The following is a 16,500-nucleotide window of genomic DNA, read 5'->3' as shown; positions in this document are numbered from 1 at the left end:
TGGCAGAGTTGGGATTTCCTCCAGATTCATGTGAGACCCAGACATCTTAATCCTTTTGGAACCTGTGCTTCTCCTTTGTAGTACTCACTACACTTGTGGAACTACATCCAACTACACTTGTGGAACTACAGCCAGCTCTGCAAACATGACAGTCTACTTCACTCCAAGTCTTTGCTCATGCTGCTCCTCTTGCCTGGAATGCCTATTTCTCTCAAAAATCTTCCTGCTGAATATTTTGCGATCTAATTAAAGTGTTCTCTCTTCCATGTACACTCCTCCCTCAGATAGAATTAGCCACTGTCTTCTTTGTGCATACACAGCATTTCATAAATACTGTCACAGTCCCTCTAGCACTTCAAATACTTATCTGATGTTCTCCCCCTAAGAAACTGTAAGTCCTAGAGGATGACAATCGACTGAATTCCATAGTCAGAAACTTCTGCTGTGCCTGGCCTTCCAATGAGAAAAGGAGAGAAGAGGAGGGGAAGGAAGAAAAAGGGAAGGAGAAGAAAGAAAAGCAAACATGAAGATAAACACTTCAGTATATGATATCCCAAGACCATCTACCCTTTTGTAAAAATTTTGCTCTTTTTTTTCCCCCCCAAGAGTCAGGGTCTCACTCTGTCGCCCAGGCTAGAGTGCAGTGCCATGAACATAACTCACTGTAGCCTCTAACTCCGGGGCTCAAGCAATCCTCCTGCCTCAGCCTCCTGGGTAACTGGGACTACAGGCATGCACCACCACATCTGGCTATTATTATTATTACTATATTAGTAGAGATGGGGTCTTTCTATGTTGCCTAGGCTGGTCTCAAATTCCTGGCCTCAAGCAATTCTTCCACCTCACATTGGCCTTCCAAAGTGCTGGGATTACAATAAGCCACCATAGGCCAAAATTTTGCATTTTATCCATTACTGTAAAATTAACCCTTACAAACCCAACAACACTCAATTCGAGAATTGTTCAACAACCACTTAATGAAAACCCCCTGAAAGCTTCCCATCCTGTTGCAGTCCCTTTCTCTCCTCCTGTGCTCTCTCCTCTTCTTCCTATCTAGCCCACCCTTTTGGCAGCTAAGAATTCCTCCCTCCATTGGAGAGTCACAGACCAAAGAGGAGTCAAATAAGAAAATAAGACCTCAAAGAAGGAAAACAAAGTGAAGGCCTTGCATCAGAAGTCACGTGGCAGAAAGCCACCTGGATATCTGAAAAGAAGAAAGAATTGAGGGATATCCGCTTTTTGCCTCAGAGACCATCCTTAGCCCTGAAGGCTTTGTTTCTGCTTTAGGTTTCCCAGATGAGCATCTGAAGTGCTACAGCAAGGAACTTCAAGTTTCCAGATACTTGTCTGGATTTTGCAAGGCGTAGATGAGTCACTTGAGAAGGAGAACTGGAATGGCGGCCTGGGTTCATTTCTGTTGTCCAATCCAAGGGCCTGTGGAGAAGGGGCTGCTGCAAGACTCTGTGTGTGGCAGGGGGAGGGGTGGGTACGTGGATGGCAATGGGAGGATCAATTAACTCCACCCAGGAGCCAAATGAAACACACAAATAAAAAACAAAACCTGAGTAGTGGTTTTTAGGTCATTCTGGAGTAGAAAGAGCATTCATTTATAGCAAAGGTTGGCGGGCACCTGTGTCAGCCCCTGCCTCCACTCCACCCCTAACAAGTATCAGGTGCCCACACGGGCCTGCTGCTCGCCTCCTGGGCTTTTCTAAGCCAAGTGAGACCTGTCCCAGATGTCCACGAATCCACTGGGGGAGTGGCACTATCAAGCAGAGTCATCTGATTTTCTGCCTGGGACCTGGACCATTGTGAGAGTAACCAACATGGGGTTACGGGGGAGAATCTGGAGAGAAGAGAAGAGGTTAACAACCCTCCCACTTCCTGGCCACCCCCCTCCACCTTTTCTGGTAAGGAGCCCTGGAGCCCTGGAGCCCTGGATCCTAGGCTGACAGACCAGCCCAGATCCAGTGGCCCGGAGGGGCCTGAGCTAAATCCGCAGGACCTGGGTAACACGAGGAAGGTAAAGAGTTCCTGTCCTCACCCCTCCCCACCCCCACCTTTTCTGTGATCTTTTCAGCCTTTCACTGGTGACTTGTTCTTCCAGGGCCCATTTCTCTACCCTACCTGGGTTTCTTCTAACCTGGAAATCTAATGATCAAATCACACTAAAAAGTCAGCTCCTGTGGATTACATATCCCAGGAGCATATAGATTTTGAATTTTGAATTTTGAAAGAAATTCTGCGTGGAGATAATATTGAGGCAGAGACACTGCTAGTGGTCAAAGATTTGAAAGGACAACTTTCTGTGTGCAGGCAGGGCCTCGGCTGGAGATAGATGGGTCTGGACGAGGCAGGAGAGTGAGAAGTTCTGAGGTGAAATGCAGGAAGCCCTCAGAGAATGCTCCTCCCACCTTGAATCTCATCCCCAGGGTCTTGCTGTCCCATTCTTGGTGCTGGGTGGATCTAAATCCAGGAGATGGGGGCAAGCATCCTGGGAAAGCTGAGGGCACACTCTGGCAGATTCTGTGTGTGTCCTCAGATGCTCAGCCGCAGACCTTTGGGAGAGTAAAGGGGGCACACCCACCCACCTTGCCTCCAGGCTCTTTCCTTCCTATTCCTGTTCTATGGTGGGGCTCCATTGCGAGACTTCAGATTGAGAAATCAGATGAAGTTTCAAGAAAAGGAAACTGGCAGGTGACAGAGATGGGTGGAGGGACTGGGGAAAGGCTGTTTACTCCCTCCTGTCTAGTCGGCTTGGTCCCTTTAGGGCTCCGGATATCTTTGGTGACTTGTCCACTCCAGTGTGGCATCATGTGGCAGCTGCTCCTCCCAACTGCTCTGCTACTTCTAGGTAAGTCAGGATCTCCCTGGTTGAGGGAGAAGTTTGAGATGCCTTGGGTTCATCAGACACCCCTTTTCAGGCTACGAATGAGACTCCCACAAAGGGATGGGACCCCTCACCACATCTATAGCTGTGGATTGAGCTACCAGGACAAGCCAAGATGGGGCTAGAAATGAGGAGAATGCTGGTTCCAATTGGGTCATAGTCATGAGTGAGGCCAGTCACTTCACCCCTCTGGGTCCCAGAATCACTATGTGGAACCAAAGAGCTTCGACTAGATGGTCCCTAGGGTCTGTCTCTTTCAGTTTGACATTCCAGGGTTCTCCTCTATGGTTTTTAATTTCTACCCTTTCTTGTGGGGATATGGGTTGAGGCTCTTTCTGTAGCTTGGTTCAGGGAAATTCAACCTGTACCCTTAATTTGTGAGTTTGCACAGGGAGCAAGGGGTAAGGGAGCAGTGTTGAAAATAGGGATTTGTGTTGACAGTGGCGCAAGAGGCATGAACAGTGGAGACCAGAGAGCAGGTAGCAAGGTTTCCACCAGAAACATCCTGATTCTTGGGAAAATTGGGCTCCTGGGGCAGAGGAGGGCAGGGGAGTTTTAAACTCACTCTATGTTCTAATCACTCTGATCTCTGCCCCTACTCAATATTTGATTTACTCTTTTTTCTTGCAGTTTCAGCTGGCATGCGGACTGGTGAGTCAGCTTCATGGTCTTGGATTGACCCAGTGGGGCACATATGGGGACAATGGCCATAAGATATTGGGAAATGCTTGTTGAATGGGAAAATGCTGATGTGGGGTTAGCAGGGATAGTTCCTCCAACACAGCAGAACTTGGCCCTGTGCTTCTCTGGCCAGCTTTCCTTAAGATACTGAACAGGCCAAAAATGGGGCCAAGATGCTCTAAGACTGAGCCACCAAGCATGGGTTTGCAATGAGCTCATTCTGGCTTTGAGGCTCCCTGGGAATGGCAGTGTAGAGCCTGCTCCTCTCCCTGTCCTCACCCCACATTATCTTGGCTCCTCAGAAGATCTCCCAAAGGCTGTGGTGTTCCTGGAGCCTCAATGGTACAGCGTGCTTGAGAAGGACAGTGTGACTCTGAAGTGCCAGGGAGCCTACTCCCCTGAGGACAATTCCACACAGTGGTTTCACAATGAGAACCTCATCTCAAGCCAGGCCTCGAGCTACTTCATTGACGCTGCCACAGTCAACGACAGTGGAGAGTACAGGTGCCAGACAAACCTCTCCACCCTCAGTGACCCGGTGCAGCTAGAAGTCCATATCGGTGAGTTGATGAAGGGGAAGAGGAAAATCACCAATAAAGGGTGAAACAAAGGGTCCTGAAATACTTGGTAAGAGCCAGAGATGATATTCTTAGAGATAAAAGCTAAGATGAGATGATGTGTGGTCCCACTGAATGGTATCAGAGTTGTAGTCCTAGCTCTAAGTAGGTCTTGGGCAAAATGTCAAAGCCTGTCAGACAGTAGATATAGGCTGCTGCATTGCACAATTCCAAGAATCCCCATATGGAGTGCATACAATGTGAATGTGTCATGTGAAGGTTAGGCCATGGCATAGATGCTCAATAATAGTTATTTATTTATTTATTTTCATTTTTTTTAATTTTATTTTTTGAGACAGAGTATCACTCTCTCACCCAGGCTGGAGTGCAATGCGGCAATCTGAGCTCACTGCAACTTCTGCCCCCTTGGGTTGTAGTGATTCTCCAGCCTCAGCCTCCCGAGTAGCTGAGATTACAGGCACCCGCCACCACGCCCAGCTAATTTTTGTATTTTTAGTAGAGACAGGGTTTCACCATGTTGGTCAGTCTGGTCTCAAACTCCTGACCTCAGGTGATTCACCGGTCTTGGCTTTCCAAAGTGCTGGGACTACAGGCGTGAGCCACCACACCTGGCCAATAATTTTTATTGAATAAATTAATGAATTTGGTGTTAGGACCTCAATCTCCTTCTCGCTCTCAGACATGTAATGCCCTAAGCCACCTCCCAAAGCAATCCTAGTGGCCTAGAATCATATCTTTCTGTCTCCTCATCAATGCTATACTCAAACCTATAATTAAGCATAAATTTGGTAATGTGATAGCTCTTCCAATAGAGGCAGATACATGTTCAGCCTGCACATTAATCATGACATGAAAGTCCTTGTGTACTATTAACAGAATATAGACATCAGACACAGGTAGGAGAAATATTTTGAAGGCAGGGGTCTTTCCTGGTGTCCCTACAATCTTACCACATAGCCTGGTCCCTGCAGTGTCGCCCTGCAAACCTAATTCTACTTCCACGGCTGTTCCATTCATACAATGTTTATGGGTGGAACAAGCTTTGGGGGAAGAAGGGCATAAGGAGGTGGATCTGCAAGAGAGCTCCATGGAATTGGGCCTCTGAAACTGATTTTTGTGGCTCTTTGGCCTCTGACATTACCACTCAACTGACATGGTCTTCACTCTCCAGAGCTACAAGAAGGTATGTCCATTTCTAGCTAGGTAAGAGATGTCCACCTACAACCAAATAAAATGGGGGAATTACCAAGAGAAAGCAATAGAAAAATCAAGTCTAGGAGTTACTAGTTTGCCTTGAACTTGGCTCTAGAAACTGGCTTTAGAAGTCTAGCCAATCAAGGCTATATTAAACTGTGACCATGAGAATTAGCTTCACCAGGTAAACTTCTGAGCATCCTTTATTCCTTTAGGACCCATTTCACTTATGTCCTCCTCTGAGAAGCACTTTTTACTTCTTTGTTTGTTTGTTTGTTTTTGTTTTTGTTTTTGAGACAGAGTTTCTCTCTGTCACCCAAGCTGGAGTGCAGTGGCGCAATCTTGGTTCACTGCAACCTCCACCTCCCTGGTTCCAGCGATTCTCCTGCTTCAGCCTCCCAACTAGCTGGGACTACAGGTGCATGCCACCACGCCCGGCTAATTTTTTGTATTTTTAGTAGAGACAGGGTTTCACGGCATTAGCCAGGATGGTCTTGATCTCCTGACCTCGTGATCTGCCTACTTCAGCCTCCCAAAGTACTAGGATTACAGATGTGAGCCACCGCGCCCAGCCTGCATTTTTTACTTCTTTCAGGCAGAATTTCTTTATTCCAATCTAGTCGGCCCCGCAGTCCTTTATTCTTAGCCTGTTGTAGCACTCGTCATATTGTATTGTGATTATTTCTGAATATTTATGTTTCTATGTCTAGGCTGTAGATTCTTTGAGGCTGAGAACTATATGTCCCATCATCTGGGTATCTCCAGTCCACAGTGTGTCATACATAGTGAGTGCTTGATGAAATATCACTTGAAGGAATATACACATGGGCATTCACTGAGTCCATGACAGGACAGATTCGAACAAGAATGTTCCTCCAAAGGCCACCAGACTATATACTAACCATGACTTTATGCTAATAATGATTCATCTCTTTGCTGAAAAAGTAAGTGGATAGATAGGCACATGGCTTCTTTTGATAAATGATATCTCTTAATAGGTAATGAAGATTACTTTCTGTTTGGCAAATCTTTGTGTTAGAGAATCATGACCAACACACGTCCTACCAATTTTGTTTAGCATCAGGTAGTAGATTTTTAAAATTATAGTAATTCAACCTGAGAATGTAGATTTAAAAAATAAAATTACAGTAAATTTAGTTTTGCTCTTATTACGTTTCGGGTCAATTTCAAAAATATATAAAAGTAAACAGGAGAAATTTAAAATGTCCTTTGGTCCCACTCCTTCAGAGAAAACCCCTGTTAATATGTAAGTGCATATCCTTCTTTTTTCTGTGCATAATACTTTTTAAAATATTTGAAGTATTATGCTTTTTTAACTTAACATTGTCTCATGAATATTTTCTTATGCCATTATAATACTTACCTATAACATCATTATTTTTTTAATTATTCAGGCCATTTCCCGACCATGACCTCATGTTCTCTCTTTGTGAAGTCTGATTACTTGGTGACATGATTGTGAGAATAAGCTCTGGCGATATAAGAATTTCCTCTCTTGAAGGCCATGCTCAGTAATAAAGTTGGTCTCACCGAGGCCCTGTGACACCTTAGAAACCACGAATTGCCACTCTGAGCACTACCAGTCCCGCCCTTCGCCACCCTGATGTTTACATTGAGTTAGTTCTCCTTCACAATTTCTGCAGCCACTCTGTGGCGACCGTCAGCTTATTCCTGAAGGCCACAAGAGTCTTTCAATATTCCTTTGATTGCCTATTCCTTCTGAAATCTACCTTTTCCTCTAATAGAGCAACTCATCATTTTCAAATGCAATTTTTACTCTGATCTAGAACTTACTGTGAATCCTTGTCACCTGCCACAGCAAATCTAAGTCTAGCACTTAAGGATCCTGCAGATATGCTCATCGTTGCTTCTCACTTACCTCATTGCTTAGTCCCTCTGCTCTAACCCTGTGTGTTGATCACATGTGTGTGTGTCCCTCTTCCCCATTAGACAAAGGTCTTGGTATGACTTCAGTTCTCTTGCAGGGCCCCATCAGCTCTTCCCCAAAGGGAGCTATGCAGGGTTGACTCCCAATCTGGCTTTCCCTTATGCCTCAGGATCTGGGTGGTACGTGGCCCCTTCACAAAGCTCTGCACTGAGAGCTGAGGCCTCCCGGGCCTGGGGTGTCTCTGTGTCTTTCAGGCTGGCTGTTGCTCCAGGCCCCTCGGTGGGTGTTCAAGGAGGAAGACCCTATTCACCTGAGGTGTCACAGCTGGAAGAACACTGCTCTGCATAAGGTCACATATTTACAGAATGGCAAAGACAGGAAGTATTTTCATCATAATTCTGACTTCCACATTCCAAAAGCCACACTCAAAGATAGCGGCTCCTACTTCTGCAGGGGGCTTGTTGGGAGTAAAAATGTGTCTTCAGAGACTGTGAACATCACCATCACTCAAGGTGAGACATGTGCCACCCTGGAATGCCCAGGGACGCCTGTGTGTGGAACCTGCACTCACACTGGGAAGTTGAGTTGGGAGGAGATTCCTGATTCTTACACGCACTTCTTCATATGTGGTTCCCTCCTGGTGATCACCAGGAGGTCCCCAAAAGTCCCTGATTGCAGGGTAGGTTTGCAGCTCTGTTTCAGTCCATTCTTTTGGGGTAGCTAGGAGGTGTCATTCACTCTGCAGCATGATGGCAGGAGCAGAAGCCACATCTCCTCCCCAATAAATACCTCTGTCTTTCCTTACCCTAATCACACCCACGGTGTCATATGTTCCTATCGTGCTGGCCTCCTTCTTATCCAAGCCTTTTAGCCACGATCCAAACTGGCAGGAGCCCCTCATCCCCTCACAGAAAGAGCCCAGAACCTGGGTTCTGGCCCTGCAGCTAATTAACCATCTGACCAGAGGTGAGCCACTTAGTCTCTCTGAACCCCAATTTCTTCTTCCGTAACAAAAATAAGCTGACATTTATTGGGCACCTTTCAGTGTGCTAGACTCTGTGCTAAACAATTCTTTACATGCACCTGGTTTGACTACCACAGTAGACCTTCACAACATGAGATAGGTAATATTCCATTTTACAGATGAAGTAACCGAGGTGCAAAAATAAATAAATAAGTTGCCCCTAAGGTCACATCAAAGACTTCAAAGCCTGTATATTTAACCAGTAAGTAAAAGATTTGAAGAAGCACTAATATCCTATGATCCCATTAAGTCATCCACAAAACATCTCTAGGTTCCATAGCACCAGCCTCCAGAATCAGAGCTCTAGAGTGGTGTGCCTGGACTTTCCAGTTTCACAGAACTTCTATCTGTAACTAGCCCAAGACATAAATTGTAAACAATTTGCATGTAGAAAGGCAGCAAAACACCTTTTGAGATTTTGACACCACAATGCCATAATTTGTACAAAAATAATTTCATGACACTTTAAACTGAAAGTAAATACTCCCAAGTGGTTAGGGAAAGAGAGCAAATAAAGCAAATGGGGTAACATGTAAACAATGAGTGGATCTGGGTAAAGGATATACGAGATTTCTTTATACTATTCTGGTCATTTTTTTTAAGTTTGGAAATATATCAAAATCAAGAGTTTAAAAAATTGAAATGCAAAATCAACAAATTTATCCCAGTTTCTAGACCATAGCATTGTCTGACAATTTCTTAACTGTCACACAAAACCCAGCTTACAACCTAACTTGTTAACGCTCCCTGTCACATCTCTGTCAAACAAGCAGGAGCCTTTGCTAAGTGTTTGGTGAGCTGTCCTCTGCTCAGATAGCACTAAGATCAGGAACCAATGGGAGGAAGCAATACTTTCCCCCAGACCTCCCCACCATTCCTACCACTTGCCTGTTGGCACTTGTCAAAGACTCTCTACTGGTGACCTCACTGTTTGTTCCAAATATCTGCCTTAGTGACTGTCATTTTTTTTCATCTCTCCACTTCTCCTAATAGGTTTGGCAGTGTCAACCATCTCATCATTCTCTCCACCTGGGTACCAAGTCTCTTTCTGCTTGGTGATGGTACTCCTTTTTGCAGTGGACACAGGACTATATTTCTCTGTGAAGACAAACATTTGAAGCTCAACAAGAGACTGGAAGGACCATAAACTTAAATGGAGAAAGGACCCTCAAGACACATGACCCCCATCCCATGGGGGTAATAAGAGCAGTGGCAGCAGCATCTCTGAACATTTCTCTGGATTTGCAACCCCATCATCCTCAGGCCTCTCTACAAGCAGCAGGAAACATAGAACTCAGAGCCAGATCCTTTATCCAACTCTCGATTTTTCCTTGGTCTCCAGTGGAAGGGAAAAGCCCATGATCTTCAAGCAGGGAAGCCCCAGTGAGTAGCTGCATTCCTAGAAATTGAAGTTTCAGAGCTACACAAACACTTTTTCTGTCCCAACCATTCCCTCACAGCAAAGCAACAATACAGGCTAGGGATGGTAATCCTTTAAACATACAAAAATTGCTCGTATTATAAATTACCCAGTTTAGAGGGAAAAAAAGAAAATAATTATTCCTAAACAAATGGATAAGTAGAATTAATGGTTGAGGCAGGACCCTACAGAGTGTGGGAACTGCTGGGGATCTAGAGAATTCAGTGGGACCAATGAAAGCATGGCTGAGAAATAGCAGGGTAGTCCAGGATAGTCTAAGGGAGGTGTTCCCATCTGAGCCCAGAGATAAGGGTGTCTTCCTAGAACATTAGCCGTAGTGGAATTAACAGGAAATCATGAGGGTGACGTAGAATTGAGTCTTCCAGGGGACTCTATCAGAACTGGACCATTTCCAAGTATATAACGATGAGTCCTCTAATGCTAGGAGTAGAAAATGGTCCTAGGAAGGGGACTGAGGATTGGGGTGGGGGTGGGGTGGAAAAGAAAGTACAGAACAAACCCTGTGTCACTGTCTCAAGTTAAGCTAAGTGAACAGAACTATCTCAGCATCAGAATGAGAAAGCCTGAGAAGAAAGAACCAACCAGAAGCACACAGGAAGGAAAGCGCAGGAGGTGAAAATGCTTTCTTGGCCGGGGTAGTAAGAATTAGAGGTTAATGCAGGGACTGTAAAACCACCTTTTCTGCTTCAATGTCTAGTTCCTGTATAGCTTTGTTCATTGCATTTATTAAACAAATGTTGTATAACCAATACTAAATGTACTACTGAGCTTCACTGAGTTACGCTGTGAAACTTTCAAATCCTTCTTCATGTCAGTTCCAATGAGGTGGGGATGGAGAAGACAATTGTTGCTTATGAAAGAAAGCTTTAGCTGTCTCTGTTTTGTAAGCTTTCAGTGCAACATTTCTTGGTTCCAATAAAGCATTTTACAAGATCTTGCATGCTACTCTTAGATAGAAGATGGCAAAACCATGGTAATAAAATATGAATGATAAAATTCTTTCTTCTTCCCTTTGTCCAACATTGTAACAGAGATTGGTTTGGATTGGTAAGAAACACCCCCTCCTCCCAGCAGCCATCTCACCACAACTCATATGAATTAGCCAGCTTGCTTTCCAAATCTTGCTGAGAAAATTGGGCTAAGGGGGATTCTTATGGGAAGTATGGGATAGGAGGGTGAATAAGCATTAGAGATCGTTTTAGAGCATTGGGGCAGATAGGAGAAGGCACAGCTACACAGGAGGTAGAGGCCTGGGCAGAGGTAGAGGGTCAGCCTGATTGTATGAATTATGAGCTATATACCAAGACGATTCAAGCTAGATTACATACATAAATATTACATAAGATTCCGACACGACACAGGTGCATTTGGAAACCTTGGACATTCAACTCACATTTATTTACTACCTACAATGTGCAAGCTTGAGTTCAGGTGCTGAAGATACCAGATGAACAACACAGGGTCATTCCCTGGAGAAGCTTTATTTCTAGTGAGAAAAACAGTTAAATAGGAAGAGAATGAAGAAAGGGCTGCAGAAAAGAGGCTTGATTTGGGGGGTGTGGTCATGAAGGATGAGTAGGAGTTCGCCAGGCAAAGAAGAGAAGAAAAGCCCAAGGTTCATAGGCAAAGATTCAAAAGCCAGAGTGTGAGTTCAAGAAAGCAGTTTGGTTCTGTGTCGGTGAGGGAGAGGAAAGAGTTTCAGGGCCAGATCATGAAGGGCATTACCTTCCAAACTAAGAAGATCGTATCAGACCCTGCAATACATTGAGAGAGTTTAAGCAGACCAGGTTTATACCGTATAGTATTTTAGAAGGATTCTCTGGCAACTACTTGATGGATGGACGGGACAGGAGAGCTGAAGACCGGAAACCAGATAGGGCATGCAAGGCAGGATGCAATAACCCAAAGGGAGCAATGAGGAAGTAACTGGCGGTGAGGCTGGAGAGGAAGGTGCTTAATCAACAAGGTATTTAGGAGGCCGACTCTCCAAGAATTGGCAGCCGGCAGTACATGGCATGACTAAGGACCAGGTTCCACACATAGTGCCCGTTTTCTGAGTTAGGAAATAGAAAGGCAAGGCAGGTACAGGTTTGGTGGAAAGACAAACAATTTGTTTTGGTATTATTAGTACTTACTTCCTTTGGTCAGTAAATTTTCTTAAAGTGTCAGTTTCCATAACGTAATTGCAGTGGTTAAGCAGCTAAGAGTTATCACTACAACCCTAGTCGGAAAAACCAAATACCTCAAAATTACCCGTACAGCACTAAGGCAGAAGAGGACATTGGGAACCACACAACGCGGAGGTCAGCTGCCAGGGATCCCGGCGGTTAGCACCGCGGCTGGTTTTGAGAGCCAAGGCTCCAGCGCTCCCGGCGGATAGCATCGCACGCGGTTTTTTTCAGTGAAAGTTTCAAAAACTCAAGGTTCACAAAAGTGGGACTTCTGTCCCGGGGTGGGAACGAACCACCAACCTTTCGTTTAACAGCCGAAGGCGCTAACCGATCGCGCTACAGAAACGGGCGTTGGCGACCTGGGCTGCCAAGTCACTTCACTGAAGAAAAAATGCTCAGCACTCTTACGTCTCCAAAAAATTTGAAGTTGATTTGAAACCAGTGACACAATTAGCTTTCCGTGCTTCAGGGCGCGGCTCACAGCCCTGAGCGAGGCAGGTCTTTTTTCCGCGCTAGCACTTGCCTAGATCTGGAGCAGGACTCAGCTTCCAGCAGAAGAGGCTGAGAAAGGGAGAGCAGAAGAGGATGCAGGAACGAAGGGTCTTCGGGGAATCCAAAATGGATGCTCTCTGTGATTTCGGGGGTTCCGTTGATTTTGGTCAGAGAAATACGACGATAAGCTTTTTTTGCTGATGTAGACAACTTATGTATGCATGTGCACACGTTTAGTGCTGACTCATAAAAAGGTTATTGTCGTGAGCATTAAAAATATTTTCTTTCAGGTCCAATCACGTCCAGCAAAATGTGATATCTAAGTAAGTGAGTTTTGTGTTACAAAATTAGTCTTCAACCCACGCTGTTTTGAAAGGTTTCTACGGGCATATTAGCCATGCAGACAGAACACGGAGCTTAAAAAGCCTGTAACATTCCAATTAATGGTATTCAGCTTGGAAATAAAAAATATTTTTTAAAAAATGCCTGCAACTTAAGGACTTTCATGCTGACATATCCAGATCCAAATGTCTGAGGACAGAGACCCCTAATTCCACCACCATCGACCTAGGGAATCTCGTCAGTGCTGGGTCTAAAAAGCCTTTTTTTTCTTTAATTCATATATATATACTTCAAGTTCTAGGCTACATGTGCACAAGGTGCAGGTTTGTTACATATGTATACATGTGCCATGTTGGTGTGCTGCACCCATTAACTCGTCATTTACATTAGGTGTTTTTCCTAATGTTATCCCTCCCCCCTTCCCCACCCACGACAGGTCCCGGTGTGTGATGTTCCCCACCCGTGCACACGTAAGTTTATTGCGGAAATATTCACAATAGCAAAGACTTGGAACCAACCCAAATGTCCATCAATGATAGACTGGAGTAAGAAAATGTGGCACATATACACTATAGAATACTATGCAGCCATAAAAAAGGATGAGTTCATGTCCTTTGTAGGGACATAGATGAAGCTGGAAACCATCAGTCTAAACAAACTTTCGCAAGGACAGAAAATCAAACACCGCATGTTCTCACTCATAGGTGGGAATTGAGCAATAAGAACACTTGGACAAAAGCCATTTTCTATACTGCCCAAGACCCAGGGCCTCTCCATAGCCTCCACACAGAATCTCCTTTCTTTCTGCCCTGCCATCCTCTGTCATCAGTGGGCTCCAGTTTAGTTGCAGGTGGAAGTTTTCAATGATGTTTAGTGAAATGAGAAGACATGCAAACATAGATATGCATATGCAGAAATTATATATGCATATATGTTTATGTGTACACATATTTTATATCTTATGTAAAATACATATATGTGTATCATATGTATACTAAATAAGTAAATAAATAAATTTGCCAAATGATCTTTAAACTAGAGTCATTTATTTTTTTTTAATTAATTTTTTTTTTTGAGATGGAGTCTTGCTCTGTTGCCCAGGCTGGAGTGCAGTGGTGCGATTTCGGCTCACTGCAACCTCCACCTCCCACATTCAAGCAATTCTCCTGCCTCAGCCTCCTGAGTAGCTGAGAAGATTACAGTCATGGGCCACCATGCCCGGCTAATTTTTGTGTTTTTTTTTTTTTTTTTGAGACAGAGTCTCGCTGTCGCCCAGGTTGGAATGCAGTGGCGCGATCTCGGCTCACTGCAGGCTCCGCCCCGCAAGGTTCACGCCATTCTCCTGCCTCAGCCTCCCGAGTAGCTGGGACTATAGGCGCCTGCCACCTCGCCCAGCTAATTTTTTTGTATTTTTAGCAGAGATGGGCTTTCGCTATATTGGCCAGGCTGGTCTCAAACTCCTGACCACAGGTGATCCTCCCGCCTCAGACTCCCAAAGTGCTGGGATTACAGGCAAGAGCCACCGTACCAGGCCTAGAGTCATTTCTTTTATTTTAAATTTTTGTCTCTGTTCTTTTGCTCAGACCTGTGGAGCTGGCAATATGGGCAAGTGTCATGGACTGTCTACCTCCAGGAAGCTCCATTGTCACCGACAGGATCAGAAGTGGCATGGTAAATGGTACAAGAAAGCCCATTCGGGCACAGTCCTGAAGACCAGCCCTTTTGGAGGTGCTTCTCATGCAAAGGGAATTGGGCTGGAAAAAGTAGGGATTGGAGCCAAATAGCCCAGCTCTGCCACTGAGAAGTGTGCCAGGGCCAAGCTGATCATCCAGCATAAGCTAGATGCTGTGGTCTCCACTGGCACAGCTGATCCTCTTGTTACAGGTTGGAGGCTGTGAGGCAGATGAGAGAACAGCAAGAAAATCACAGCCTTTGTACCTGATGATGATTGCTTGAATTTTATTGAAAAAAATGATGAAGTTCTGTATCAGGGGAACCAGCACCCAATATTTCAATGTAGGTTCTTTTCTATTTTCCCTAAGTGTTGACCGGTCTGAGAAATGAAGAGAAAGAGTACAAAGAGAAAAATTTTACTGCTGGGCCGCCAGGGGTGACATCACATATTGGCAGGTTCCATGATGCCCACCTGAGCCACAAAACCAGCAAGTTTTTATTAGGGATTCTAAAAGGGGAGGGGGTGTACAAACAGGGAGTAAGTCACAAAGATCACATGCTTCAAAGGGCGATAAAAGATCACAAGGCAAGGCAAAATTAGAATTACTGATGAGGGCCTATGTCCCGCTGTGCACACATTGTCTTGATAAACATCTTAACAGGAAACAGGGTTCGAGAGCAGACAACTGGTCTGACTAGAATTTACCAGGCTGGAATTTCCCAATCCTAGTAAGCCTGAGGGTACTGCAGGAGACCAGGGTGTATTTCAGTCCTTATCTCAACCACATAAGACTGAGACTCCCAGAGCGGCCATCTATAGACCTACCCCCAGGAATGCATTCCTTCCCCAGGGCTATCAATTATTAATATTCCTTGTGGGGAAAAGAATTCAGCAATATTTCTCCTACTCACATGTCCATCTATAGGCTCTCTGCAAGAAGAAAAATATGACACTATTCTGCCCGACCCCACAGGCAGTCAGACCTTACAGTTATCTTTCCTTGTTCCCTGAAAATTGCTGTTATTCTGTTCTTTTTCAGGGTGCGCTGATTTCATATTGTTCAAACACAGATGTTTTACAATTTGTACAGTTAACGCAACCATCACAGGGTCCTGAGGTGACACACATCCTCAGCTTACGAAGATGACAGGATTAAGAGATTAAAGAGAGGCATAAGAAATTATAAGAGTATTGATTGGGGAAGCGATAAATGTCCATGAATTCTTCACAATTTATGTTCAGAGATTGCAGTAAAGACAGGTGTAAGAAATTATAAAAGTATTAATTTTGGAAACTGACAAATGTCCATGAAATCATCACAATTTATGTTCTTCTGCCTCGGCTCCAGCTGGTCCCTCCGTTCAGGGTCCCTGACTTCCTGCAACAGTTCTGGTTGCTGGATTTGGCAGAAAAGGTCATGCTGTTGGTGATATTCCTGGAGTCCACCTTAAAGTTGTTAAAGTAGCCAATGTCTCTCTTTTGGCCCTATCAAAAGCAAGGAGGAAAGACCAAGCTCATCAGCTTTAATGGTGAAAACCCAATAGTAATAAGTTTTCATTTGCCAAAATAAGTTGTTTTTAAATGTCCTTTCTTTTTTAAAATTAAAATTAGGATAGATGATAGTTTTGTGGCTATTTGTTTTATGAATTTCACAATTTGGCAAAATGAAAAGTTGGCCACCCTATACTAGTAACCAACTTTTCTGATGTCATTAGAGACAGGGTCTTGCTCTATCACCTAGGTTGGAGTGTAGCTGCACGATCTTAGCTCACTGCAGCCTGCAACTCTCAAGCTCAAGCAATCCTCCTGCCTTAGCTTCCCAAGTAGTTGGGATTACAGGCTTGAGCCACCTCGCCTGGCCAGTAACCAACATTGTGGGGAAATTTTGTTCATCTGTGAAGTTCAAGTTTGGAACTACCACTCTGTGCTTTACCTCCATTGTTGGATTGACAGCAGAAATAAAAAGTTATTAGTTTCCAGTTGATTGTGAATACACATACATTTCCTGTGCTACATTTTACATGTATGTGACAGCAATGCAAAAGCAGGAGAGTAAAAAGGAAGAATTTTTAAAGAATAAAAGAATAGCTCTCCCTCTCCCTC

At 44.5% G+C, this 16,500-nt stretch overlaps 1 protein-coding gene and 1 pseudogene across 5 annotated transcripts, besides 2 other annotated features; both read left to right on the top strand.

Annotated features, from left to right (window-relative positions):
• FCGR3B (Fc gamma receptor IIIb) lies at positions 1,946–10,713 on the top strand. Of its 5 annotated transcripts, NM_000570.5 has the most exons (6): positions 1,946–2,023; positions 2,771–2,854; positions 3,521–3,541; positions 3,874–4,131; positions 7,507–7,764; positions 9,270–10,713. In NM_000570.5, the coding sequence occupies exons 2-6, from the start codon at positions 2,815–2,817 to the stop codon at positions 9,392–9,394; spliced, it is 702 nt and encodes a 233-aa protein (NP_000561.3). In that variant the 5' UTR covers positions 1,946–2,023; positions 2,771–2,814; the 3' UTR covers positions 9,395–10,713. The 5 variants fall into 5 exon arrangements, with proteins under 5 accessions (NP_000561.3, NP_001257964.2, NP_001231682.2 ...); NM_001271035.2 differs by lacking the exon at positions 1,946–2,023 and having other exon boundaries at positions 2,733–2,854; positions 3,877–4,131; NM_001244753.2 differs by lacking the exon at positions 1,946–2,023 and having other exon boundaries at positions 2,733–2,854.
• Positions 8,976–9,270: an enhancer, noted in NCBI's record as "tiled region #4269; K562 Activating DNase matched - State 5:Enh". NCBI's record gives its function as "activates a minimal TATA promoter and a strong SV40 promoter by Sharpr-MPRA in K562 cells {active_cell/tissue: K562}" and the evidence as "EXISTENCE:reporter gene assay evidence [ECO:0000049][PMID:27701403]".
• Positions 9,007–9,199: a silencer, noted in NCBI's record as "fragment chr1:161594500-161594692 (GRCh37/hg19 assembly coordinates)". NCBI's record gives its function as "represses an EF-1alpha promoter that drives an FKBP-Casp9 reporter gene in an ReSE screen in HepG2 liver carcinoma cells and K562 erythroleukemia cells {active_cell/tissue: HepG2 | K562}" and the evidence as "EXISTENCE:reporter gene assay evidence [ECO:0000049][PMID:32094911]".
• RPS23P9 (ribosomal protein S23 pseudogene 9) lies at positions 14,324–15,914 on the top strand (annotated as a pseudogene).

The sequence above is a fragment of the Homo sapiens genome, chromosome 1, assembly GCF_000001405.40.
Source record: "Homo sapiens chromosome 1, GRCh38.p14 Primary Assembly".
NCBI lineage: Eukaryota > Metazoa > Chordata > Mammalia > Primates > Hominidae > Homo > Homo sapiens.
This window is presented reverse-complemented; position numbering and strand designations above follow the sequence as displayed.

Coding starts and splice junctions, on each gene's coding strand:
- FCGR3B (NM_000570.5), top strand. CDS start 2,815: ATGTGGCAGCTGCTCCTCCCAACTGCTCTGCTACTTCTAG. Junction 3,542..3,873: donor TTCAGCTGGCATGCGGACTG/GTGAGTCAGCTT, acceptor TTGGCTCCTCAG/AAGATCTCCCAAAGGCTGTG. Junction 7,765..9,269: donor GAACATCACCATCACTCAAG/GTGAGACATGTG, acceptor TTCTCCTAATAG/GTTTGGCAGTGTCAACCATC.